Source organism: Homo sapiens, chromosome 12, assembly GCF_000001405.40.
Source record: "Homo sapiens chromosome 12, GRCh38.p14 Primary Assembly".
NCBI classification, from domain to species: domain Eukaryota; kingdom Metazoa; phylum Chordata; class Mammalia; order Primates; family Hominidae; genus Homo; species Homo sapiens.
Window position 1 is genome coordinate 64403801 of NC_000012.12, and position 26945 is coordinate 64430745.

General features: G+C 40.8%; 1 protein-coding gene across 5 annotated transcripts in view, besides 4 other annotated features; it reads left to right on the plus strand.

The window, feature by feature from the left end:
- Positions 167-216: an enhancer, noted in NCBI's record as "active region_6592". NCBI's record gives its function as "activates an Ori minimal core promoter by ATAC-STARR-seq in GM12878 lymphoblastoid cells {active_cell/tissue: GM12878}" and the evidence as "EXISTENCE:reporter gene assay evidence [ECO:0000049][PMID:35858748]".
- XPOT (exportin for tRNA) overlaps positions 592-26945 on the plus strand; it is a 46734-nt gene continuing 20380 nt past the window's right edge. Inside the window, exons 1-17 of one of the 5 annotated variants that reach the window (XM_047428193.1) lie at positions 592-1960; positions 6162-6295; positions 11107-11189; positions 12898-12954; positions 14246-14315; positions 15076-15294; positions 16270-16454; positions 16553-16721; positions 17435-17671; positions 19205-19243; positions 19382-19444; positions 20799-20923; positions 21238-21382; positions 21538-21657; positions 22015-22109; positions 24251-24320; positions 26249-26487. In XM_047428193.1, coding sequence (XP_047284149.1) covers positions 6236-6295; positions 11107-11189; positions 12898-12954; positions 14246-14315; positions 15076-15294; positions 16270-16454; positions 16553-16721; positions 17435-17671; positions 19205-19243; positions 19382-19444; positions 20799-20923; positions 21238-21382; positions 21538-21657; positions 22015-22109; positions 24251-24320; positions 26249-26487 — 1976 coding nt within the window. In that variant the 5' untranslated portion in view covers positions 592-1960; positions 6162-6235. Of the gene's footprint in view, positions 1961-6161; positions 6296-11106; positions 11190-12897; positions 12955-14245; positions 14316-15075; positions 15295-16269; positions 16455-16552; positions 16722-17434; positions 17672-19204; positions 19244-19381; positions 19445-20798; positions 20924-21237; positions 21383-21537; positions 21658-22014; positions 22110-24250; positions 24321-26248; positions 26488-26945 lie in introns of those variants that run through there. The other 4 variants (XM_017018748.2, NM_007235.6, XM_047428194.1 and 1 more) reach the window with 4 other exon arrangements.
- Positions 607-766: a silencer, noted in NCBI's record as "silent region_4619". NCBI's record gives its function as "represses an Ori minimal core promoter by ATAC-STARR-seq in GM12878 lymphoblastoid cells {active_cell/tissue: GM12878}" and the evidence as "EXISTENCE:reporter gene assay evidence [ECO:0000049][PMID:35858748]".
- Positions 1097-1206: a silencer, noted in NCBI's record as "silent region_4620". NCBI's record gives its function as "represses an Ori minimal core promoter by ATAC-STARR-seq in GM12878 lymphoblastoid cells {active_cell/tissue: GM12878}" and the evidence as "EXISTENCE:reporter gene assay evidence [ECO:0000049][PMID:35858748]".
- Positions 1314-2190: an enhancer, noted in NCBI's record as "NANOG-H3K27ac-H3K4me1 hESC enhancer chr12:64798894-64799770 (GRCh37/hg19 assembly coordinates)". NCBI's record gives its function as "activates a minimal SCP1, AML or CMV promoter by ChIP-STARR-seq in naive H9 embryonic stem cells {active_cell/tissue: H9 hESC(naive)}" and the evidence as "EXISTENCE:reporter gene assay evidence [ECO:0000049][PMID:30033119]".

Sequence of the window (26945 nt, forward strand, 5' to 3'; positions counted from 1 at the left end):
GAAAAATACAAAAATTAGCTGGGTATGGTGGCGCGCGCCTGTCATCCCAGCTACTCAGGAGGCTGATGCAGGAGAACTGCTTGAACCCCGGAGGCGGAGGTTGCAGTGAGCCAAGATCTCGCCATTGCACCCCATCCTGGGCGACAGAGCGAGACTCCGTCTCAAAGAATAAATAAATAAATTAATTAATTAATTTTGAAAACCTGTCAGCACTCATCAGAGCTTTACACTGCTGTACTCGGGACACTTGGGGCCGTAGACAAGCAATTAAATTGACTCACACGTGGTTAGAACCACGTCATCCTGATTCGTGAATCCGTACTCTCAACTACTAGAAGCCCTTTGTGGAATGCTCGGGGCGAACCTGACGCTTGAGCTCTGACACCACGCAGACACAGCCGGGGATTTAGGAGCTGGGTAGGGACTCCTGGGCCGGATGCCTCATCCCGGCATGCACCTCAAGCCCCGGTGACCACGCCTTCCGGCGAGCGCCAGGGAGCGCGTGTGCGCCTCGCCGCCCGGAAGCGCCGGCCGCTCCCTGCATGCTGGGAGTTGTAGGCCTCCGGCGTCAGCCCGCGGGCTGCCGCCCGCACTCTCCAAGAGACTGCTGGCGCCGGCGCCCGCCCGCGCGGCACCGACGCGGGGAGCGCGCTTCGCGCTGACTCAGCGGCGGCGGCGGCTGCGGCGGCGGCGGCGGCGTTAGCCGGCCCTCGCGCTCTTTCCCTTCCTGGGGCGCCGACCCCGCCCGCTTGCTTGCTTGCTTGCTTGCCTGCCTGCCTGCCTGCCCGGCGCCACGCAAGAGAAGGTGCCAGGGGACGCAGAGCGACTAGAGGCGCGCGGTCCCGGCCAGCACCGTCTCTGGCGTTGTAGCTGCGGCCGTGGCGGAGGACTACGGCGACAAGGACGAGGGCCGCTCTCCCAGCTCTCTGCGTGCCGCGCCGCTCCGCTCCGCTGGCTGACCATCTGGAGTGCAGGCTGGGAGGCGGGATGGAGTGATAGGGAAGGTGACTCGGGGCTCGGGGGCAGCGGGACCGGGACCAGGTTTGGTCCGCGTGAGGCTTCGAGGAAGTTGGCCGGGGCGGACCGGCCCGGGGGAGTCCCGACGCCAGGGAGGGTGCAGGCTTGGGACCCTCTATGGCGGTGCACCCCCTGGCTGGGCGGACCGGGTGGGGGTGGGTACGAGCCGGGGCCGCCGCCGAGGAGCGCGTCCCGAGTGCGTGGCCGGCGGTTGCTTGGTGTTTCATCACCCGAATTGCCACGAGGCTTCCTTTAGGGGAGGGATCGGGGGAGGGATGGGAGCAAGGCTAGCAGAGGAGGGTCGGCATCGCCTGTGGTTCCGAAGCCCGTTAGTCATCGTTGTAGCGTTATCAACTGTGGAGACCTCAAACTTGATTCTTCCCCCACCCCTGGACAAAAAGGAAAAGTGTTATTTCTGTGCAGTAATTGGCCAGCACGGACGCTCCATTTCTTCTCAAACCTTCCTCACCATCCTGCAGGACTAGAGAAGCATGAGGTTTCCCTGTAACCAGAAAAACGAGTACTTTTTGAAAGTGCTAATTAGTTGTGGCGGGCGGGGGTTGGGGGAGAGTTACGTTTTATTAAACCGACTTGTCAGCGTGGTGTTAAAAGGCTGGAAAGATTCAGTCGTAGTATTTGAAACAGTCTTCAGTAGGTGTAGAGGAATTTTTCCAAATTGTTTGATTCTTAATGGCTATCCAGGAAAAGTTAAGGCTTAATATTTTAAGTATGTTGCTTGCCTTCCCCCAAGAACCTTTGCAAGATGCATAATTGTTTACCGTATTGAAACATTTTTTGGGGTTTTGTTGTTGTTGTTTTGAGACGGAGTCTCGCTCGGTCGCCCAGGCTGCAGTGCAGTGGTGCCATCTCGGCTCACTGCAACCTCTGCCTCCCAGGTTCAAGTGATTCTGCAGCCTCAGCCTCCCGAGTAGCTCTATTACAGGTGCGCCCCGCCACACCTGGCTACTTTTTGTATTTTTCGTAGAGATGGAGTTTCACCGTGTTAGCCAGGATGGTCTCGATCTCTTGACCTCGCGATCCGCCCGCCTCAGCCTCCCAAAGTGCTGGGATTACAGGCGTGAGCCACCGCGCCCGGCCTTCCACTGCATATTGATCGTCCAAATGCCTTCTATGTGGGGGATTCTTTCTGTAGTGACAACTGTTAACTAGTTTGTTTCCTTGGGTTTATTGGCTATGTTTTCCTTAGGGCCACTTCATTTTTCTCCCGATAGCTTCAGAGTGACTTGACCAAGCTTAAGCACTTTTTCTTTTTTTTGACACAGTGTCTCACTCTGTCGCCCAGGCGGGAGTGCAATGACACGATCTCCGCTCACTGCAACCTCCCCCTCCCGGGTTCATGCGAGTCTTCTGCCTCAGCCTCCTGGGTAGCTGGGATTACAGGCGCAGGCCACCATGCCCAGCTAATTTTTGTATTTTTAGTAGAGACGGCGTTTCACCGTGTTGGTCAGGCTGGTCTCGAACTCCTGACCTCGTGATCCGCCCACCTCGGCCTCCCAAAATGCTGGGATTACAGGCGTGAGCCACCGTGCCCAGCCAGCAATTTTTTTTAGATGGAGTTTCGCTCTCGTTGACCAGGCTGGAGTGCGGTGGCGCCATCTCAGCTCACTGCAACCTCCGCCTCCCGGGTTCAAGCGATTCTCCTGCCTCAGCCTCCCGAATAGCTGGGATTGCAGGCATGTGCCACCACACCCGGCTAATTTTTGTATTTTTAGTAGAGACGGGGTTTCTCCATGTTGGTCAGGCTGGTCTCGAACTCCCGACCTCAGTTGATCTGCGCCCCCCTCCCCTCGGCCTTCCTTAGTGCTGGGATTATAGGCGTGAGCCACCCTGCCTGGCCAGCATTTTTTTAAAAAGCCATAGCAAATTCAAGGAAGCTTTTATTGGACTTCTCAATCAGGGATTCTTAGAAACTCCGAAATCGTTTTTTCTCTCTGTGGGCATTTTTCAGGGGAATGGACATCAGATTTTCTTAACATTTAGGGGGCGAAGGGAACCAGTGCCTTTCTTTGTGTTTTTCTGTCTTTTAAAAATGCTGATCTGGTATAAGAATGCCCCAAGTCGTTTCCATTCCACATGTTCCTACCTCTGACTATAAACAACGTATTGAGGGCTCACTATGTGCCAGCCATGCTCTGCATACCTTATCTCTTTGAAGCCTTTACAACTTTATGAGGCATATGGTCTTTTTCCCATGTCATAGAAAGGGTTCTCTCAGGTTTTGTAAGTTGTCCAAGTGGCCCCAATTAAAAAATGACAAGATGGGGATACAAACCCAGGTCTTTGAAATCCAAAACCTATGCTCTACTATGTCCTAGGGACATAGTGATGGATAGTCAAGACAGTCCTTGCCCTTTAAGATTGTGAGAAATGGCCGGGTGGCTCACACCTGTAATCCCAGCACTTTGGGAGGCCGAGTCTGGCAGATCACCTGAGATTAGGGGTTCGAGACCAGCCTGGGCAACATGGTGAAACCCCATCTCTACTAAAAAATACAAAAATTAGCCGGGTGTGGTGGCTCACCCCTGTAATCTCAGCTATTTGGGAGGCTGAGGCAGAAGAATCACTTGAACCCAGGAGCCAGAGGCTGCAGTGAGCCGAGATCATGTCACTGCACTCCACCCTGGGCAACAGAGTGAGACTGTCTCAAAAAAAAAAAAAAAAGATTAATGAGAGAAAACTAGTAAGCTGGCAGTGACAGCATAGCAGTGCTTAGGATGGGGCATGTAATCCAATTTGGGAGAGTTGGACAATAGAGGTCAAAGAAGTGTTCTTGAAAGAGATGGCTTCTAAGTTGAATTTCAAAGGACAGCAGGGGTTAACCTACTAACAAGAAGAAAGAGCAGTGTGCAAAGATGAAAGGTAGAATACCACTGGAGAACTGCCATATGGTTCACTAGCACTGGCCTTGCTGACCTGGTGTGCAGAATAGTGAGGAGTTATTCAAAAGTGTTTGGATCGTAATCTGAGGGCAGTAGGGAGTTACACTGCCTTGAAGTCTGCAAGTACGTTATGAACCATAAGAGAAAGGGCTGAGCTGTCTTCAAAGCTCTCAGTCCATATCCTGAGTTATTTGATTCAGGCAGGCTCAGAGGAAAACAGAAAAGCCTATTGTAGGTATCCTGTAACCTGGACCTGAGCCTGGTTTTGCTATTCCCAAAAGGCCTTTCTCCCCTACCCCTGCTATTCCCAAAAGGCTTTTCTCCCCTACCCCCAATCCAATTAGTTTTTTGGCGTCTTTGGTTAACGGTAATTGAAACAAAAAGCCCCACAGCCTTTTTTTGTTTTTTTTGAGACAGAGTCTCGTTCTGTCACCCAGGCTGGAGTGCAGTGGCGTGATCCCAGCTCACTGCAACCTCCACCTCCTGGGTTCAAGCGATTCTCCTGCCTCAGCCTCCCAAGTAGCTGGGATTACAGGTGTGTGCCACCATGCTCCACTAATTTTTTTGTATTTTTAGTAGGGGATTTTACCATGTTGGCCAGGCTGGTCTTGAACTCCTGACCTCAAGTGATCCACCTGCCTCGGCCTCCCAAAGTGCTGGGATTACAGGCATGAGCCAGCACGCCTGGCCCCCCACAGCGTTTAATGGAAGTAGTAAGACTTGGTCTCCCTACCTTATAGGTCTTGAGAGAATAATATCATTTTTCACATCATTTAGAGTTTGTTCCATGTTTGCTCAAATGAATATGCATTCTATCAAAAACTAGGATGCCTTTTGCAGCTTATTATTTGAGAATGTTGGAACCTATATTGTGAAGAAGTGGATTACCTCTCAGAGATTAAAAAAAATCCTTAAATAAGAGTAGTCAGTGTTAAGTCATTTGTGGATTTTTTTTTGTGTGTTTTGTTTTTTTTGAGATGGAATCTCACTCTGTTCTCCAGGCTGGAGTGCAGTGGCGCAATCTTGGCTCACTACAACCTCTGCCTCCTGGGTTCAAGCGATTCTTGTGCCTCAGTCACCCGAGTAGCTGGGATTACTGGCATGTGCCACCAAGCCTGGCTGATTTTTGTCTTTTTAGTAGAAACAGGGTTTCACCGTATTGGTCAGGCTGGCTTGAACTCCTGACCTTAAGTGATCTGCGCACCTCAGCCTCCCAAAGTTCTCAGATTACCGGTGTGAGCCACTGTAGCTGGCTGGTTTGTGGGTTTTTGTATCTACTATTGAAAAACTTTTTTTTTTTTGAAATTTTTAGAATTGGCTGGCAAGAGCAGAGATCTGTAAAATGCAAAACTAAGTCCATTGCTCAAAAGCTAAATGACTGGTTTTTCATTATCCTGTTCCTTTCATTAGACTTCTGTCATAGTACTTAGTAAACACTCCAAAGGATATTGAACTCTGAGGTCAGCCATTCTAATGTTTTAAAGAAGGTTTGTGATATTTGTATCTGGAAGTAGACAAATTATTATAATTACTGTAATAGTCTGCATTTGTCATTTTTATACTTAACTGCAGTTGCACAATTGCATTTTTAAGTACTAGAGATAAGTAAAACACTGCATAAATTAGGTACTTCTACTATTTAAAGTAGAAAATGATTACTTTCTATACCTTATTAAGAAGATCTTGAAGACTAAGAAAGCTTGAGGACCTTTATGGCATACTTTAAGATTTTTAGGGGCCAGGTGGGGTGGCTCATGCCTGTAATCCCAGCACTTTGGGAGGCCAAGGCGGGCGGATCACGAGGTCAGGAGATCAAGACCATCCTGGCTAACACGGTGAAACCCTGACTCTACTAAAAATACAAAAAATTAGCCCAGCGCGGTGGCGGGCGCCTGTAGTCCCAGCTACTCGGGAGGGTGAGGCAGGAGAATGGCGTGAACCTGGGACACGGAGCTTGCAGTGAGCTGATACGGTGCCACTGCACTCCAGCCTGGGCAACAGAGTGAGACTCCGTCTCAAAAAAAAAAATCAGATTTTTAGGAATTACACATTAGTGGAGTAGTTAGCAGAGCCCATTTTTCTGAGAATTAGGCTCTAACTTTTAGTTGTAATTTAGATAAGTTCCAAAATAAGTTTTTAAACATTTAAGCTTCTTTGCATGATTTTATCCATTTACGTTATTCAGGATAAGCATCTATTTGTTTATCAAGTAATGTTTTCTTTCAACTTTGTTTTTTGTGGCAGATGTTTATAAATTCTTCTGTGGGATCAGAGGGCACGCCTATTACAACCAGAAAACTACAAGTATAACAGCGAGGATGGATGAACAGGCTCTATTAGGGCTAAATCCAAATGCTGATTCAGACTTTAGACAAAGGGTAAGTTACTCTGCTGAATCATTTTTTAATCATGTCACCACAGATTGGCATTAGAGGACTTGAATAAAAATGCACCTGGCAAAAGTTTACTTTGGGTAGAAATGAACAGAAACAAAAAAATTTGAGGTATTTGAATATATTTTGAATATAGAAACAGTGAGTGTTGTGATTTATTTTCTGTTTACTTGGCCAAACAAAAGTATTAAAATCTCATATGATTCAAGGCAGATCTTTATGCAACATCAGTCATTATTTCTAATTATTTAAAAATTGTAATGCAAAGGATTCGTTTAAGAGACTTTCCATAGCAGCAGACATGTGTATTTTATTTTCTCTTTCCTTGGCTTGATCTATACAAGCTGTTTTAACACTTACCTTAATGATTTTTTTTTTATTTTAATTTTTTTCTAGAGATAGGGTTTCACCATCTTGCCCAGGCTGGTCTCGAACTCCTGAGCTCAAGCGATCTGCCCACCTCAGTCTCCTAAAATGCTAGGATTATAGGCATGAGTCACCCTGCCCGGCCACATTAGTGATATTTAACTTTCTTGTTATTTGGTCTAGGCAGACATAAATAAGCAGTTATGATAGGTTATGTCTTAAGTAAAATGGTTACATGACAAGAATCCATTATAAAGTGCTGGGATAGTTGGATAAATGTAAACAATTAAATATAATGTAGCCTACAACTATAATCATGACTATAGCTGAATGATAGAAAAATATAAAGAATGAGCCTATAATTAATTTTTTTTAAAGACGTGGGCATTTGGAACTATAGGGTAAGTGGAAAGGAAAGAGGCATTTTCTTTTTACTTTTCATAGCAAAGAATACTTTTTATAAATGAGCTAAATGAGGTTAACAATCTCACTAAAAATTATAGCAGTTTTTATTCTTATTTTAAGAAAAAAATCTTTTAAAGCAGTAAAAAACAATCCCAACTAGTTTCTAATACAGTACCATGTGCATGTCTCTGCTACTAAATAAGTAACGAGCCCTTCAGATACAGGAAAATAATAGGAATTGAGATTTAAGTATCTGGCTAATTACAAGATACCTATCAAACAAGTTAGGACATCAAAAGACATTTAAAATCCATGTCTTCTGTGTGTAAACAAATCTTTCTTGTCATAGGGTTTTATGCTACCTACCTTCAAACATAGTTGAAGTATCATAGATCTTTACCTTTAGTCTAGCTTGGTATTGCATGCTTGTAATTAAAAGCCTTTGACTGTATGTTTAGTTATTAAATGGCCTTTACTGTTATTTTTATGTGCCTCTTGAAATCTTTCATTTCTTAAGTTCCAGCATCCAATTTTTGGATGAAAGAGGCATTTTCTTTGCCTCTTAAGTTCCAGCATCCAATTTTTTTAAATGTGCCATGATTTCTTTTTCAGAAAATTAAAACCAATACATTATTAGTGGTTTTAATACAGAAGCTCTGCTTTTTGTCAGTAAAAATGGGTTCTGTCACATACGTGTTTTAAGCATCCAGGTCCAGGCATAATTCAGTATCCATTTAGCCAATCTGAATAACAATTTATTAGGATGAAAGGGAAGAAATCTTAAAGTGAATTCTGAAAGCCCTTTTGTTGCAGTTCGGGAGTAGTGGAAACTTAATTCAGTTTGGTGGTGAGAAGAATGACTGTCTGCCAACCCCAATTGCTCAGTTGTCTATCTGTAATTCTCTGTTTTTTACATGGGCAATAAAAGTTGAACTGACTCTTGTCACATAGAGTCAGTCAACCATTAGAAAAAAGGTATGGGGTAGAACTAGGTGGTGAAAGCTAGGACTTGTTTGTCAGTGTTGTAGAATTTTGTTTTTTTAATTGTTAGTAATGCATAGATTCAGAATACAAAGGCTTTGTTTAAAAACTAAAAACTTCCACGTTATCTCTCCTCTCCTTCCTCTCACCCCTGCCCCGCCCCCCGCCCTTTTTTTTTTGAGACAGAGTCTCACTCTGTTGCCCAGCCTGGAGTGGAATGGCACCATCTTGGCTCACAGCAACCTCCAACTCCCGGGTTCAAGAGATTCTCCTGCCTCAGCTGGGATTAGAGTAGCTAGGATTAGAAGCACACACCACCACGCCTAGCTAATTTCTGTATGTTTGGTGGAGACGGGGTTTCACCATGTTGGTCAGGCTGGTCTCAAACTCTTGACCTTGTGATCTCCCTGCCTCAGCCTCCCAAAGTGCTGGGATTACAGGCATGACTCACCGCGCCCAGCCTCCTCCTTTTTAAAAAATAAAACACTCGTCTTTGGCTTAAAACCTGTTATTATTTAAAGAAAATGGTATGTCATGACATTTCTAGCAGCTGAAACCACCTCTCCCCTCTTTTGTAAGTGAAATATTAGGTGGTAATGCAACATACATGATTAACTTCTACCTTGTCCTCTGGCCTCTGAGATATTCCTAAAGAATACCCTATGTTTCATGGACTGCTGTTAGAAACAACTAAGCTAGTACTATCTTTTATAGCTGCCTGTGTTCTTATAGTCTTAACTTCTAAAGAGAGACATTATTTACTCTGGGCTGTTTTCCAATACCAACAACCAACTCTCTTGATTTCTGTGGACACCAACTGGGTGTCCTACAAATCAATTCAATTCTGACACTACCAGGATTAGCATCACATCCCACAAGTTATGGGCTCGGTCTTACAAACCGCCCCCACTTAAGACACTAATTGAGTCCAGAACCTCTCATATTTCTGATGATGGAGTAGCCTACAGAACTTAGAAAAACAGTTGACTTTCTTGTGCTGATGAAGGATCCACCTCATGAGCAGCCACATGGAAGCGATGCATAGGGCAAAGTATAGGGGAAGGGGCACAGAGCTCTTGTGCCCTCTCTAGGAACACCACCCTCTCTAGGAACACCACCCTCTCAGCATCTCGATGTGTTTGCCAACCTGGAAGTTCAAGAGTTTTTATAGAGCTGAATCTTGAGTCCCTTCTCCCCTTCCCAGAGGTTGGTGGTTAGGGTAAAAGTTTCAACACTCTAATCAGTTGATCTTTCTGGTAACCAGCTGTATCCTGAGGCTGTCTAGTGTTCCCACACCAAGTTACCTCATTAACATAAACTCTGTTGACCCCGAAGTCTCTAGTGATCCTTCCACCTTAGCCTCCCAAGTAGTTGGGACTGTAGGTGCACGTCACCACTTCTGGCTAATTTTTAAATTTTTTGTAGAGACAGGGTCCCACTATGTTGCCCAGGCTAGCCTTGAACTGCTGGCCTCAAGTGATCTTCCAGCCTCAAGTGATCTTCCCACCTTGACCCCCCAGAGTGTTGGGATTATAGGTGTGAACTGCTGTGCCTGGCCCAAAGGACTCATTATAAATAACAAAAGACGGTCCTGTCGCTCAGGAAATTTTCCAAGAGTTTTAAGGGCTCTGAGCCAGCAACTGGCTGCAAAGCCCAAATGTATTTTTTCGTTATACCATATATTTAATATTATATTTGGTGATCTTCACCTAATCATCTTCATTTACCTGGTCTTCTGTCAGTGGGAGCAGCCATTGAGACCATGTATGAAAACCCATTCCCTCATTCATACAGTTACATAGTATAGGAAACTATCACCTAAATATAAATACAGTGGCTTTGATCTGTAACCCAAAGAAAAAAATAACTTTACATCTCGATGACCCAGTGTGTGTGTATATATTTATAGGTACATATGCACATAAATAACTAAAACAAGTTACAGAAAGTAATATTCTTGCTAGGGTATAGTACAGAATATCTAATATTCTCTATTTCATTTTTAAAAATTATTGTTCAGGACCCATAAACTGATTTCATCACTAGTGGGAGACACCACCGTTTTAAAAATATTTACCAATTGAAATTAGGTTTCTCTAAGGCTAATGTTTCTTTTACCTCATGTCAGCTTTTGTTTCATACATAATTGCTGTCAAATCATCTAGCAGTGCTTCCAGTTGATGTGCAATTTTCTTGTCTATTGGAGATACTTGTCACAAGATGTTCACTACTATTTGTCCATTGCCATGTGTGAAACCTGCATCTGGTGCAACATGCTGATGGGAAGAGTGCCTGAAGTAACTCCCATTTTCCCAACAGTTTGGTAGAGAGCGTATGGACTTGGTGCTGCATCCATTCTAGAGTACTCTTGCTCCTTGTTGGCACTGTTACTTGTGATTACAAGGCCCTGAATTCATAAACTTAGAGATAAAAAACTTCCTCGAGCTTTGACCTTTTCAGTTACTTAATATTTTTCAAAATTCATATCATGCACTTGTACTCCAATTTTAATCTCTTTAGGGAACTTACATGATATAATTAAAGACTTGAAATACTCTCCTGTGTAACAGTAGATCAGATAAGGTACACAGTATGTTTTATCTTTTATAATCACCGCTTTAATAGCAGATGTGCTATTAAATAGGAAAAGTGCCCTTCACGTGCCATTTTATAATTGCATATTATAAAATGATCACACCCTTAACTCATCCTCTGCAATTTCTCAGTAGTATGGCACTTGACAAAGCACTTGCTCTCATTCTTCATAATAACCCCATGAAGGCTGCGGGGCATTTTTGTGTTGTTGCTGCTGTAAGAAAACAGGTTTGATTATCTAACTGATGGAATTTATATTTATTTAACCTATTTTTAGGAATGACCCCAAGTTGCATATATTCGGAAGCCTGCATTTAATGTTTTAACTGTTTTTCTATTAAGTTTACTGATTTGTTATAGGTTTGCAACTCTCAGAATATTTTGTTTATATTAGCAGGGCATTGAGATTGTTTATTCTAAATGCATTTTTTTGTTTTGCAATCTTATAGGCCCTGGCCTATTTTGAGCAGTTAAAAATTTCCCCAGATGCCTGGCAGGTGTGTGCAGAAGCTCTAGCCCAGAGGACATACAGGTAATTAAAAACAAAATTTGCATGACAATTTAAATTTCTGTGGACATGACAGGACTGTGAAATTTACCTGTATTTGGAAAGTGTTTTCATAAAAACATTTTATGACTTTTTTTTTTTTTTGCAAAGCCATTAACATATAGTCATTCCATGTAGAAATGAGAAAAGTAGTAAACCCAGTTTGGCCATTTCAGAATTAACTTTTCAGTAAAACCATCCTTTGGTATATATTGTGTACCTGTCACCAGATCCCAGCTGGAATAAAGTGCAGTAAAAACTTCCTTATCTTATGATTGAGGGTGATAACTGCTTTCCTAAAACTTTGGTAAAGACGGTGATTGTAAATGATATATATCTTAATTTTAAAATTATTTATTTATTTTATTATTATTATTATTATTTTCTTGAGATGGAGTCTCGCTTTGTCGCCCAGGCTGAAGTGCAGTGGCGCAATCTAGGCTCACTGCAAGCTTCGCCTCCTGGGTTCTTGCCATTCTCCTGCCTCAGCCTCCTGAGTAGCTGGGACTACAGGTGCCCATCACCATGCCCGGCTAATTTTTTTGTATTTCTTTTTGGTGGAGACAGGGTTTCACTGTGTTGGCCAGGATGGTCTCGATCTCCTGACCTTGTGATCCGCCCGTCTCGGCCTTCCAAAGTGCTGGGATTACAGGCGTGAGCCACCGTACCCGGCCTATATCTTAATTTTTAATTTTAACTTAAGGTATATAATCATTCGGTGACCAATCTTTTAATATTGGACCACAGTCTTTATCTTTGTATACTAACTAGCATTCACTTTATTCGTAGGTTGGTCACACCTGTAACCCATCCTCTACAATTTCTAGCATGGGTCTCTGTACAATGAGTGACGATCCATAGATTTTTAAGATATTTGTCCCCGCCTCTCAAGTCTTCTGGTTATATAGGCCATGTCAAATATGTACAAGATTTTTTCCTTCTGCAGTGTGGCTTTCTATGAAATCTTTCTAAAGCATTCAACTAACTTTTTACGGAAATAGGAACTCTCTTATACTCACTTCATTGGCAGATTGTTGGTCTCTAGAAGATCTTTGTCAGTGTTTATAGCTGGCTAACTGCAACTCTGCCACTCCCCTAGAAAGACAGTTGGAAGTGGGTAATTGGTGTGTTGACTTTTGCCCCCATCTTGTATAAGCAAGGGTACCATATTTGTAATTTAGTGTCCTGTACGAAACTTTGAAGTTGGACTGACAGTCCATGTGGCCCTGCTTGTTTTGGATTTGGCTACAATAGAACTACTGGGGTTGAATTTTAAGCAGGACTTGGACGACCATCTTTACTTTCACTCAGACTCTGTCTGTTCTGCCATTTGTAATTTTACACCTAACCTGTTATTGTAAAATGAAGGGACTGTTCCAGGAATCTTAATATCTGGAATTTAGAGGGATGGTTTGCTGCTTACAAAGCATTGTATTCAAGGTGCATCTTAATATCTTGGTTAGTTTGCTTGTCAGATTTAATGGAAATTTTAAATATTGTGTAATATTTAGAGTTCTCATAGCTTTTTAAGTAAATGGATTTTAATGTCATAAAATGAGACCAGTAAGTATGAAACAAGCCAAAGGTCTAGTTTGAGAAACTTTTCTGCTGTATTACTCATTACTATTTTGCCTTTGATTTGTTTTCCTCAGTTCATATTCTGCTTATCTCATTTTCTTTTTTTCTTTTTCAGTGATGATCATGTGAAGTTTTTCTGCTTTCAAGTACTGGAACATCAAGTTAAATACAAGTAAGGCTTTTCTTACTGTTTTGACTCAGATTTGCGGGGAGAGGTCATTTTTTTAATTTAATGTTTTTCTTCCATAAGGAAACCATAATACAGGTTGTAAATTCACAGTGTATATGTTATATCCAGGTTATAGATACGTTTTGATGTACCCCAAAGTGTTTTAAAAGTGCTGAGTTGGCCAGGTGAGGTGGCTCTCGCCTGTAATCCGAGCACTTTGGGAGGCTGAGGCCGGTAGATCACTTGAAGTCAGGAGTTTGAGACTAACCAGCCTGGCCAACATGGTGAAACCCCGTCTCTACAAAAAATACAGAAACTAGTCAGATGTGGTGGCATGCACCTGTAATCCCAGCTACTCAGGAGACTGAGGCACGAGAATTGCTTGAACCTGGGAGGCGGAGGTTGCAGTGAGCCGGGATCACACCACTGCACTCCAGACTGGGTGACAGCGAGACTCCGTCTCAAAAATAAAAAAAGTGCTGAGTTTGTTGGTTACACATAAAAATCCAAGGCTGGGCGCAGTGGCTCATGCCTATGATCTCAGCACTTTGGGAGTCCAAGGCAAGAGGATCGTTTGAGCTCAGGAGTTTGAGACCAGCCTAGGCAACATAGTGAGACCTCATCTCTACAAAAATTTTTTTAAAAAATTAGCCAGGCATGATTGCGCGCTTCTGTATTCCCAGCTACTGGGGAAGCTGAGGCCAGGAGGTTGAGGCTCCAGTGAGCCATGATGGTGCCACTGCACTTCAGCCTGGGCAATACAGCAAGACCTTGTCTCAAAAAAAAAAAAAAAAATGAAAATCCAGATATTTCACAGAAAAATCTAGATTTCCAGCTTTTCTGGAAAAGTCAGAATATCTGGTAACACCAGGCCTGTTTTTCTACATGACAATTCTCTCTTAGAGTTAAGTAGCTGCATGGGCACTTGTGTTCAGAATCTCTGACTTACTAATTAAGCAAAATAACAAATCACTACTGAGAGGATTCCTAGTTCACCTATTGGTTTATTCTGTAGATCACAGACCACAAAACATTTTCATTCGAAAAATTGTGTAGCCATCATTTGTTTCAACATGAACAGAATCACAAATTAAAGATTGATATTGATGCCCTACCTGCCACTCTTGTCCTTATCTTTAAAGCAATGATGAGTGGCATTATCAGTTTATGTTAGGGAACTTCAGATAATTGAGAGCTATACAAATTTTCCCTTTCAAATATATGAGGCTGTTATTTTTTACAACCATAGACACCAAATATAGCCATTATTCTTTTTCTTCTCTATTTTGAACAGATACTCAGAACTAACCACTGTTCAACAACAGCTAATTAGGGAGACGCTCATATCATGGCTGCAAGCTCAGGTAAAATCATAATTTCATTCAGTACCTCAAATTATTAGATATTTAAACTTATTTTTTGCAAGAGTTTGGAACTTTACCTCAAAGATTTTCATCAGTGTTCCTCCATTTGATTTCATAGCTTTTTTAAAAGGTGCTGGTTTTAAAGATCATGGAAGTGGTAGTTTAGCAATAATTTAATATTATATCAATGACTGAAATGGTCATAGTTTCCATGACACATTGTGGAAACTTTGGTTTTAAAATGTAGTTGTTTTTAACTACTTGACAAATGCTGCTTTCTGTTTGGCTCTTAAAGGTGAGCCCTCCTGGACAGCCTCTCCACCAGAGCCCTTTATAAAGGGCCAGTTGAGTTCTTTTCAGTTAATTTTAGCTAATCTTAACACATAAAGCAGTTGTGTAGCTAGAGTTTTCATTTTCCTTAAAGAGCAAGTAGAGGAAAATTTTTTTTTCTTCTTAGAAGAAATTATAGGAACTATTAAAACTCTGCACATGAAACTTTTCTGTCAAAGTGTAAGAATGAGGAATAATCATTACAGCCTTTAATGGTTCATTTAATTGTTCTTCATCTGGTCAATCACTTAAATACTTTTGATAATTTTGATAATCATAATTATCAAAATAATTTTGAAGAGTATTTGTTGCATAGTTTATCTGGGCCATGTTGACATTTGATGAAACTTTGCCTTTTAATAAGACAACTGGTGTTTCTGGGTCTTTTCAATTTACATTTAATTTTATGGACTGTTTCTCTGTTTGTCAGATGCTGAATCCCCAACCAGAGAAGACCTTTATACGAAATAAAGCCGCCCAAGTCTTCGCCTTGCTTTTTGTTACAGAGTATCTCACTAAGTGGCCCAAGTTTTTTTTTGACATTCTCTCAGTAGTGGACCTAAATCCAAGGGGAGTAGATCTCTACCTGCGAATCCTCATGGCTATTGATTCAGAGTTGGTGGATCGTGATGTGGTGCATACATCAGAGGCAAGTAACTAACCATGAATTTTTTATATTTAATGTAAGTTTTGTAGGTGATAATGGGCACATAATAAAAAGAGCAGGGAAGTTTTCTTTCTTGAGGTAAACTTTCTTAAGTTATATAATTATAAATTTACCTGATGTTTTGGATTTTATTTTATGAAGGAACTCAAACTTGGTTATTTTTTTTCCAGAGGTATATTGAAATTAAAGTATTACATTACATTTTTTATTTTTTTACTTTTTTGAGACGGAGTCTTGCTCTGTTCCCCAGGCTGGAGTGCAGTGGCACAGTCTTGGCTCACTGCAACCTCCGCCTCCTGGGTTCAAGCGATTCTCCCACCTCAGCCTCCCTAGTAGCTGGGATTATAGGCACATGCCACCACGCCTGGCTAATTTTTGTATTTTTTGTAGAGATTGGGTTTCGCCAGGCTGTGCTCAAACTCCTGACTTCAGGTGATCCGCCCGCCTTGCCCTCCCAAAGTGTGGGGATTACAGGCATGAGCCACTGCGCCCAGCCTAAATTTTTTTTAACTAGGCAAATACTGTAGTGACATACACGAGTTGATTTTCTTTTATGAATCTGTTGAGAAAGGTAGTCTCAATTTAATACTGCTATATAGTCCCTGAGCAAGGAAGAAGCATTGCTTAGGAGTTGTCCGTGTTGCTACTTCTGTATTCTTCATCACATAGTGTAAGTACTATGTTACTATATTGAGAAATAACTTAAAATATGCTTAAGATTTCTAAGCAGTGCTTTTTATAGTTTGTATTTACTAAGAAATTAACTCTGACACTGAGGAGTAGAACAGAAAGAGGAAATACAAAGAATCACAGGATATGATCTTAGAGCTGGTAAATAGGAAATACTGGTAGGGAATGTGTTAACAAGTCTGAAAGTTTACTCTCTGCAAGTATATTCAGATATCAAACATGATTTTGTAAGGTAATCTACTTTGCATTTGGCGTTTTGTATTTTAGGAGGCTCGTAGGAATACTCTCATAAAAGATACCATGAGGGAACAGTGCATTCCAAATCTGGTGGAATCATGGTACCAAATATTACAAAATTATCAGTTTACTAATTCTGAAGTGACGTGTCAGTGCCTTGAAGTAGTTGGGGCTTATGTCTCTTGGATAGACTTATCCCTTATAGCCAATGATAGGTAAGTATGCCTATTATTTTTATAGTATAAACTTGTAAAATACAGTATCTAAAACTCATGACTTTGAAAATGTTACAATTTTATTGTCCCATTACCAGGTTTATAAATATGCTGCTAGGTCATATGTCAATAGAAGTTCTACGGGAAGAAGCATGTGACTGTTTATTTGAAGTTGTAAATAAAGGAATGGACCCTGTTGATAAAATGAAACTAGTGGAATCTTTGTGTCAAGTATTACAGTCTGCTGGGTTTTTCAGCATTGACCAGGTTGGTAAATTTATATAAAACATTGTATGTAAAGTTGTTAGAACAAACTGGGATAGGTACTAAGTTAAATATAATAATAGCTTTTTTTCTTCTAAATGTTATAAACTCCCCTTGAGATTATAATATAAACCACTGCATCTAGCCAAAATGTTCTCAGTAGCATTCTCCTTGGAGAATGGGTTATACCAGTTCTTAAACCTGAAAGCCTGTAATTGCACATTTCTCACAAACTCTTAGGAGATGCTGACACAACTTGTTCATAGTGGAATTGAGATTTTTTGTTTTGTTTTGTTTTTTGAGATGGAGTCTCACTCTGTTGCCCAGGCTGGAGTGCAGTGGCACAGTCTCGGCTCACTGCAACCTCCGTCTCCCGGGTTCAAGTGATTCTCCTGTCTCAGCCTTCCGAGTAGCTGAGATTACAGGCGCATGCCACTACACCCGGCAAATTTTTTACCTTTTTGGTAGAGACGGGGTTTCACCATGTTGGCCAGGCTTGTCTCGAACTCTTGACCTCAGGTAATCCACCCACTTCGGCCTTCCAGAGTGCTGGGATTACAGGCATAAGCCACCGTGCCCAGCCTGGAATTGTTAAATATATGACGTCATTTTAAAATTGAATCCTGTAATTAGCACTTGATTCATATTAAAGTTCAGTTTTTCCTCTTAGCTTGGGCAGGCAGTTTTAAACAGAGATGTGTCTTGATTGCTTATAGGAAGAAGATGTTGACTTCCTGGCCAGATTTTCTAAGTTGGTAAATGGAATGGGACAGTCATTGATAGTTAGTTGGAGTAAATTAATTAAGAATGGGGATATTAAGAATGCTCAAGAGGCACTACAAGCTATTGAAACAAAAGTGGCACTGATGTTGCAGCTACTAATTCATGAGGATGATGATATTTCTTCTAATATTATTGGATTTTGTTACGATTATCTTCATATTTTGAAACAGGTAAGTTTTTGTTTTATTCTTTTTGCTCAATACATAATACAAAGGAGCCATGGAGAAGTGGAAAATATGGAAAAATTAAAAATGAGAAAATACCCATAATTCTACTACCTAAAGATATTTACTGTTAAATACTAATGTATTTCCATCTTAAAAAAAAAAGAATTGGCCAGAAAATAGTTTCAGGTTCTAAATTCAGTAGACTAACCAGCTTCAGAGGTAGTTATAGGTTTAGGTTTTTTTTTTTATTTTGAACCTGTCTTTATTTGTGAATACAGTTGAAATTTTCATAAGCATGGTTTGTTATTTTAATTTACATATACATCATTCATTTCTCATAAACAATTTTTTTTTCTTTTTTGAGACGGAGTTTTGCTGTTGTTGCCCAGGCTGGAGTGCAATGGCGTGATGTCAGCTCACCACAACCTCCACCTCCCAGGTTCAAGCGATTTTCCTGCCTCAACCTCCCAAGTACCTGGGATTACAGGCATGCACCACCACATCCAGCTGATTTTGTACTTTTAGTAGACAGGGTTTCTCCATGTTGGTCAGGCTGGTCTTGAACTCCCTACCTCAGGTGATCTGCCCACCACAGCCTCCCAAAGTGCTGGGATTACAGGTGTGAGCCACCACGCCCGGCAACAATTTTTTACAATTAAAGTTTCCCCCACTTCCAGAAAGAACTTGTAGGTGGTGTTAGTCTCCATATTATAGCATTTAGCAATTAAAATAATTAGTAACTTATCAATATGATATTAGATGAAAGCCATTTCTGTATATTTACTTTGAATTAATTGAGTCAAGTCAAACTTAAAATATGTTCCCAAATGACTTTAGTTTCTGTTTTATTGTAGTAAACATAACATGTATCTTTATGTATACTTCAAGAAATTTTATGCAGTGTGGAAAGGTATGATCACTATTGGTAATTCCATTGTATATCTCTTAATGGTTTTGTAGGCTTGTTTTGCTTTGTTTAAAAACCTTTGCAGAATATGTTATAGGTGTCTTTGTCTACATGTCAAGTTACTTACTAGAAGTGGCATTACTTGATCTTAGGTTAGGTATATTTTAAATATAGGCAGCTGCTGCTAAACTGCCCTCCAAAAAAGTTGTGTGCATGTTTTCAAAGATCTTGATTGATTACAGGCCAGGCATAATGGCTGTCACCTGTAATCCCAGCACTTGGTAAGGCTGAGGCGGGAGGATTGTTTGAGGCCAGGAGTTTGAGACCAGCCTGGGCAACATAGGAAGACTCCATTTCTATAAATAATAAAAAGAAAACTAGCCAAGTGTGGTGGCACATGCCTGCGGTCCCAGCTAACTTGGGAGGGTGAGGTGGGAGGATCTCTTGAGCCAGGGAGTTGGGGGTTGCAGTGAGCCATGACTGCGCCACTGCACTCCAGCCTGGGCAACAGAGCAAGACCTTGTCTCAAAAAAAAAAAAAAAAACCAGGTCTTAATTGATTCGAAAAATGTTCTGATATGCAGGTATAACTTTAGAAAACCTAATAAGTTATTGCTTCCTTTTTAACAGCTTACAGTGCTCTCGGATCAGCAAAAAGCTAATGTAGAGGTAATTGACTTTATGCTTCTTTTAAACCAATGATAGATTTTTAGTCTGTAATTTGCCTTGAAATGTAGCTTAATTTCAAATTATATCAAATTAGAAGGAGACTGACAAAAACTCTTTTATTCTCAATTTTATTCTTAGGCAATCATGTTGGCCGTTATGAAAAAATTGACTTACGATGAAGAATATAACTTTGAAAATGAGGTAAGAATTTTTTTTTGTTGAGGAGAAAGGAGTTTTAATTTTATTATTATATCAAATTAATATTTCAAGTTCTTATTGTTTCGGGGCCCTTTAAAACATGAAGTTCTTGAAAAATTAGTCTGTTTATATTGACACCAACCTTGGGTGAAATTAATAGAAGCCTCTTAATCCTTCCTTTTTGATATTTTATCCATTAACAACCACCCCCCCTCCTTTTTTTTTGCTTTGAGACAGAGTCTCACTCTGTCACCCAGGCTGGAGTGCAGTGGTGCCATCTCAGCTCACTGCATCCTCTGCCTCCTGGGTTCAAGTGATTCTTGTGCCTCAGCCACCTTAGTAGCTGGGATTACAGGCATGTGCCACCATGCCCGGCTAATTCTTGTATTTTTAGTAGAGACGGGGTTTCGCCGTGTTGGCCAAGTTGGTCTTGAACTCCTGGCCTCAAGTGATCTGCCTGCCTCAGCCTCCCAAAGTGTTGGGATTATAGGTGTGAGCCACTGCACCTGTCCCATTAACAGCCCTTTTACAAATACTGTGTAGCACTGAACATAGTAAAATATTGATAATATTATTGGTGATCATATTTCACTTTATATTTTGTAAGAATGATGAACTCCAGTCACAAGACTGTATTGGCAGAGTGGAAATGAGGCGCTCTAGACTTGTTCCAGTTAAAGGTCTTTTTCAAGATTGTGAGTGGGTCAGCTTCCCATCAAACAAGGGCCATTGGTGCTTTCTAGGTATTCAGTCATGGTATTTGCTGCTAAGCTTTGTTCTAAAGTGTTGTATTCCCCCACCTCAGACATTCAAAAACTTAGGGTTGTAAAAGGATAATAGTGGTGCTGACCAACACACTGCGCACCTGGGATGTGCCAGGCTCCTAAGATTGAATATCTCCAGTTATACCATATTATTACCACTTTTTACAGTGGATATTGACTTACAAGAATAAATAAGGTGCAAAGAATTCAAAGCCCATTCTAGTGCTAGAGTATTGTCTTTAACCTTCTTAGACTATTTCTAGCTCTAGGCTTTTGAGGTCTACGGCTTTGTGCAGAAATACTTATTTGTGAGCTGGAGGGAAGAAGTTATTAAGCTTAATAAGTTTTTCTATATAAATAGTGACAAAAATAAAAGTACGAAATATGTAAATGCGGAAAAATACAGGAGAACTGGATATTTACATGAATTTTAAGGTCTTTTAAGTTTTTAATTTTTATTATTATACTTTAAGTTTTGGGGTACATGTGCAGAACGTGCAGGTTTGTTACATAGGTATACATGTAGCCATGGTGGTTTGCTGCGCCGATCAACCCATAAGTTTTTTGAATGAGGATTTTAACCTGTATCATAGGGTGAAGATGAAGCCATGTTTGTAGAATATAGAAAACAACTGAAGTTACTGTTGGACAGGCTTGCTCAAGTTTCACCAGAGTTACTACTGGCCTCTGTTCGCAGAGTTTTTAGTTCTACACTGCAGTAAGTTTGTCATTACTTTTGTAACAAGCCTACTTCTTTCTTTTGCTCTTTGATATGGGTCAAAATAAATGATTCATATGACTTATTAATCCATGTTACTTATTGAGATCTTATGTGTATCTCTGGAAACAATGCACTTGTCTTCTTGATTTATCTTGATCCTTTCTACCTTTGTGATGTATTGCCTGGGAAAGTTAACAGTTGCTATGACTTTTTAATAATTAAAAAGGCTTTTGTTGGTGTCTTACCCTGTGCATAATTTGCTGTATGAAAAATTTATCTTTAAATCTCACTGACATATTATACCTTGGTAGGAATTGGCAGACTACACGGTTTATGGAAGTTGAAGTAGCAATAAGATTGCTGTATATGTTGGCAGAAGCTCTTCCAGTATCTCATGGTGCTCACTTCTCAGGTGATGTTTCAAAAGCTAGTGCTTTGCAGGATATGATGCGAACTGTAAGTATACTGGAGATAATTTTGACCATAAATTTCTGTTTTCAGTATAAGCTAATGGGAGTTCCTTAATTGTTAGAGCTTAGTATATGTTAATACCGGGGCATTTTGATGTTGCAATAAATAAGAAGAGGTTTCCTAACTTTTTCCTGATCTAGCTGGTAACATCAGGAGTCAGTTCCTATCAGCATACATCTGTGACATTGGAGTTCTTCGAAACTGTTGTTAGATATGAAAAGTTTTTCACAGTTGAACCTCAGCACATTCCATGTGTACTAGTAAGTACTCTGGATTTTTGTTACTTTCCATGGGTTTCAGCTAATGACTTGATAGTGTAGTATTGTATTTTTCTGTCTATAACTTTTCTCAGAATCAAAACCTCTCAGAAGTGCTTGGCACACACTGAAAGTAACCCCTCCTCCATTTCTTTTAAATGGATAGTTTGTGCCCAATTAGTCAACTAAAACAAGTTCTCAAGGGACTGTTTGTGTGTAGTTTAGAATTACTCGTATATTCCTAGTCCCTGCCTTTTAGGAGCTAAGAAGTAAAATTTGGTGTGAACAAAAATGTAGCAGGACAATATCAACAAAACCCTTGAAAAAATGCAGAAATAGTAAAAGTGTCTCCTTCTTTAGATGGCTTTCTTAGATCACAGAGGTCTGCGGCATTCCAGTGCAAAAGTTCGGAGCAGGACGGCTTACCTGTTTTCTAGATTTGTCAAATCTCTCAAGTAAGTATAAAATTGCAGCTATTATGTTTAGTTATTTTTTAAGTTACTGGATAGATGTAAAACAATAGTAAAGACATGGAATCAACCTAGGTGCCCATCAGTGGTGGATTAGATAAAGAAAATGTAGGCCAGGTATGGTGGCTCATGCCTATAATCCCAACACTCTGGGAGGCCGATCACAAGGTCAGGAGTTGGAGACCAGCCTGGCCAACATGGTGAAACCCCATCTCTACTAAAGATACAAAAAATTAGCTAGGCATGGTGGCGGGTTCCTGTAATCCCACCTACTCAGGAGGCTGAGGCAGGAGAATCGCTTGAACCTGGGAGGTGGAGGTTGCAGTGAGCCAAGATCACACTCCAGCCTGGGTGACAGCGTGAGACTCAGTCTCAAAAAAAAAAAAAAAGAAAAAGAAAATGTAGTACACATACATCATGAAATACTAAACAGCCATAACAAAGAACAAAATCATGTCCTTTACAGCAACATGGATGCAGCTGGAGGCCTTTAATCTAAGCAAATTAACGCAGAAACAAAAAAACAAATGCCACATGTTCTCACTTATAAGTGAGAGCTAAATCTTGGGTACACACAGATATGAAGCTGGGAACAAAAGACACTTGGGACTCCAAAATGAGGGAGTGGGGCAAGTGCTGAAAAACTTCCTGTTGGGTACTGTGTTCAATATCTGGGCAATGGGATTGGATCAATAGAAGCGCAAACCTCAGCATCCCGTGATATACCCGTGTAACAAACCTCCATGTGTACCCCCTGAATTTAAAATGAAGATGGAGGCCTGGCGCGGTGGCCCACGCCTGTAATCCCAGCACTTTGGGAGGCTGAGGCGGGTGGATCACCTAAGATCAGGAGTTTGAGACTAGCCTGGCCAACATGATGAAACCCGGTCTCTACTAAAAATACAGAAAATTAGCCGGGCATGGTGGTGGGCACCTGTAATCCCAGCTAACAGAAGGCTGAGGCAGGAGAATCACTTGAACCCAGGAAGCAGAATTTGCAGTGAGCAGAGATCGTGCCATTGCACTCCAGCCTGGGTGACAAGAGTGAAACTCTGTCTCAAAAAAATAAAATGAAGATGGAAATAAAAAAAAAGTAGACATATAAATTATTTTCCAAGAGCCTATGGTAGATTTGGTTCTTCCTGTTCAAGTCAAGTCATGCTTTGTCAGGTCAGGTAGATGTACTCCCGACCTTTTTTTTTTTTTTTTTTTGAGACAGATTTTCGTTCTTGTTGCCCAGGCTGGAGTACAATGGCATGATCTTGACTCACTGCAACCCCTGCCTCCTGGGTTGAAGCGATTCTCCTGCCTCAGCCTACTGAGTAGCCAGGATTACAGGTGTCCATCGCCACACCCGGCTAATTTTTTGTATTTTTAGTAGAGATGGGGCTTCACCATGTTGGTCAGGCTGGCCTTGAACTCCTGACCTGAGATGATCCACCCTCTTCAGCCTCCCAAAGTGCTGGTATTACAGGCATGAGCCACCGCGCCCAGCCCCCTTTTTATGTTGCCACTTCCTTTCCTGCTCATCAGCCAAGTACTTAGTTCAATAGTAAAAGTTTTCATTGTTTTTTGTTGTTATTTTTTTGAGATGGGGGTCTCATGCTGTCGCCTAGGCTGGAGTATAGTGGCTGGATCCCAGTTCACTGCAACCTCAACCTCCTCAGGCTCAGGTGATCTTCCCACCTCAGCCCCCTGAGCACCTGGGACTACAGGCGTGTGACGATGGCCGGCTAATTTTTGTATTTTTTGTAGAATCAGTCTCACCACATTGCCCAGCCTGGTCTCAAATTCTTTAGCTCAGTCTTCCCACCTCGGCCTCCCAACGTGTTGGGATTACAGAAATGAGCCACTGCACTTGGCCTGTATTATTCTTTACTAGTACTATTTTTTGCGAATGAAAACTACTCCTTATTAGGTTTATAAGATTGTAAGTCATTTTGACAATCTTATCACTACAGAGCAGATAAAGGTAATTTTTAAAAATTAACCATAGCTAATCTTAATCAGAAGTGACTAGCCTACAACTGAACTTTTTTTTAGTTCTGTCTTAAAGGGGGAATTTGGTATTTTAGCACTGTTTTGAGCACTGTTATTAATTGTGATTTCCTTTTTCTGTTTTTCAGTAAGCAAATGAATCCTTTCATTGAGGATATTTTGAATAGAATACAAGATTTATTAGAGCTTTCTCCACCTGTAAGTATCTGTCTCTTTAAGATATTTTACCCAGAATTCATTGAAGCCACACGTGCCATTAGCCTTGCCTTTGTTGGCATTTAAAAAAAAAAATTGGTGGTGGAGGGAAGTGTATGTGCAAAGATTAGTTCTATTTACCAAAATTCTGTTGACATAGTAAACAAAACATAGTAATAGGAATCAAGAGTTGACAGATCAATTTGGCAGCATGGGGTATATTGTTAAAATGTTGAAGCATTTTATGAAGAAGAAAAAATTCATTAAAGATGAGCTTGCTGTTAAAATGAAAAGTATATTAAAAATTTTAAAAACCAAAAGAAAATAAAAATTTAAAAAATTCAACTTCTAAATTATTCTGTTTAATCCTATAATTGTATTAGCCATTCTTAGCAGCTGCTACTGTTAGATCGAAGGTTTTCCCTGTCATTTCAGGCTTAGGGTAAAAAAAAAAATTAAGTGCTAGTCGATCTGAATATTTTGGTGTTGGGATTGGGCCATAATCCCAAGTGTTAAAATCCTGAAATCCTAAAAACCACAATTCTAAAAGATCAAAATCTTAAAAATATAATCCTGGAAAAAGTAATTTTAAAAAATTATTTGAAAGATATTACTTTACATTTTTAAAAGGGAATGTATTTGAGAAACATGTAAAAACATGACAGCACTTCATAGGCCACTTTACACAATAAAATAGGCAATAATAACATGCTTTTGCAAGCATAAACAGTTATAAAAATGACAGTTACATGTGTAAAACAGGAGCAGACAAACTGTATTCATAAATCAGAAAGCAAAATGTGTAAGTGCATGTCACTATGGTTAGTAGTTGTGTGCCACTCTGCTTTATAACTGCGCTCATCTGAAATAACCATGACAGACAACCTAAGTCTTGAGGAAATTGATAAAAAACGGCAATGGGTCACTACAACATATGCAGTCACCCAAAGAACTGAGATCACAAGAAATTTTATGTTTCACAGATGCAGATGTACAGAAAGGACCTTTCTTGTGTACATGCAGTGTTTACACACACAGTTAATGCTGTGTGTAATGTACTTTTGCAGAGTCAAATTTCTGATGTTCAAGGCCGCAGAAGAAAAGTCTGTCCACCTTTCAGAGAGAGACCAATTTGCCTTATGTATTTGTTCTCTCAGAGCCCCTGGTCAATTGGATGGTGCCCGCCAACACTGAGGGCAGGTCTTCCCCACATAGTCTACTTGGACTGACTAATCTTTCCTGGAAACACCCTTACAGACACATGCAAAATAATGCTTTACTGTGTGTTGTTACTTAATTATTTAAAAGAAGTATAGCACTCTAGTACTTTTTTTTTTTTTTTTGAGACAGAGTCTTGGCTCTGTCACCCAGGCTGGAGTGCAGTGGCATGGTCTTGACTCACTACAACTCTACCTCTCAGGTTCAAGCAGTTCTCCTGCCTCAGCCTCCCGCGTAGCTGGGACTACAGGTGCGCCACCACACCCAGCTAATTTTTGTATTTTTAGTAGAGACAGGGTTTCACCACGTTGACCAGGCTGGTCACGAACTCCTGACCTCAAGTGATCTGCCGGCCTCGGCCTCCCAAAGTGCTAGGATTACAGGCATGAACCACCACATGCAGCCTAGCCTCATAACAATCTTATATAAATAAGATCTTTACAAAAGAAAACAAGTTAGAAAGCTAACTTTAATAATTATCTTACATGATCATTTATAGAGTCTTGTCAGGGCTGGAATTAGAACCGTGATCTGTTGACCTCTAATTTAGTTTTCTTTTCATTCTATGGTCCTGGGAGAAAATTTGTCTTTATAAGTATTTGACATATGAGTTGGTGTGATAGATTACATTTCCTGTTCCTAATGCACTTTTTCTCATTAAATGAAGGGAACTCAAAAAATAAAAGCTTTAATAAGACTGAATTTCATTCTAGGAGAATGGCCACCAGTCCTTACTGAGCAGCGATGATCAACTTTTTATTTATGAGACAGCTGGAGTGCTGATTGTTAATAGTGAATATCCGGCAGAAAGGAAACAAGCCTTAATGAGGAATCTGTTGACTCCACTAATGGAGAAGTTTAAAATTCTGTTAGAAAAGTTGATGCTGGCACAAGATGAAGAAAGGCAAGCCTCTCTAGCAGACTGTCTTAACCATGCTGTTGGATTTGCAAGGTAAGTGTGATCACAGTTAAAATTATAAAGTGCATGTATCTACACAGACAGAACCACTTGTTTGGTGGGCACACACATTTGTGTTTCCACAGTTGGATAATCCAGAGAATTGTCTAAATCTTTGTCCTCCAAATCCAGTCAGTTAGATTTGGTTGAAGAAGGGGATAGGTTACATACCATTTACATTTTTGCCTTGACAACTGTAAATCTTTAACTCCTCTGACTTCTCTGATATAAATGGGTTGTGTGTTTAAGAGGATCAGCTGAAGTGTTAATATACCAAATATATATTGGGACGGGACATCTTTGGTTAGTCTTGGTTACCTTAAAGAGAAGAGCGTGAGGTTTCTCTTCAGTTGTATTGTGTCCTGAAGATCACCCAAGCAGCTGTTTTTTCCGCCTCTAGCCATACTTTTTGTTGACAAACAACAGCATGAAAGTTGTAAAGATTGCTAATT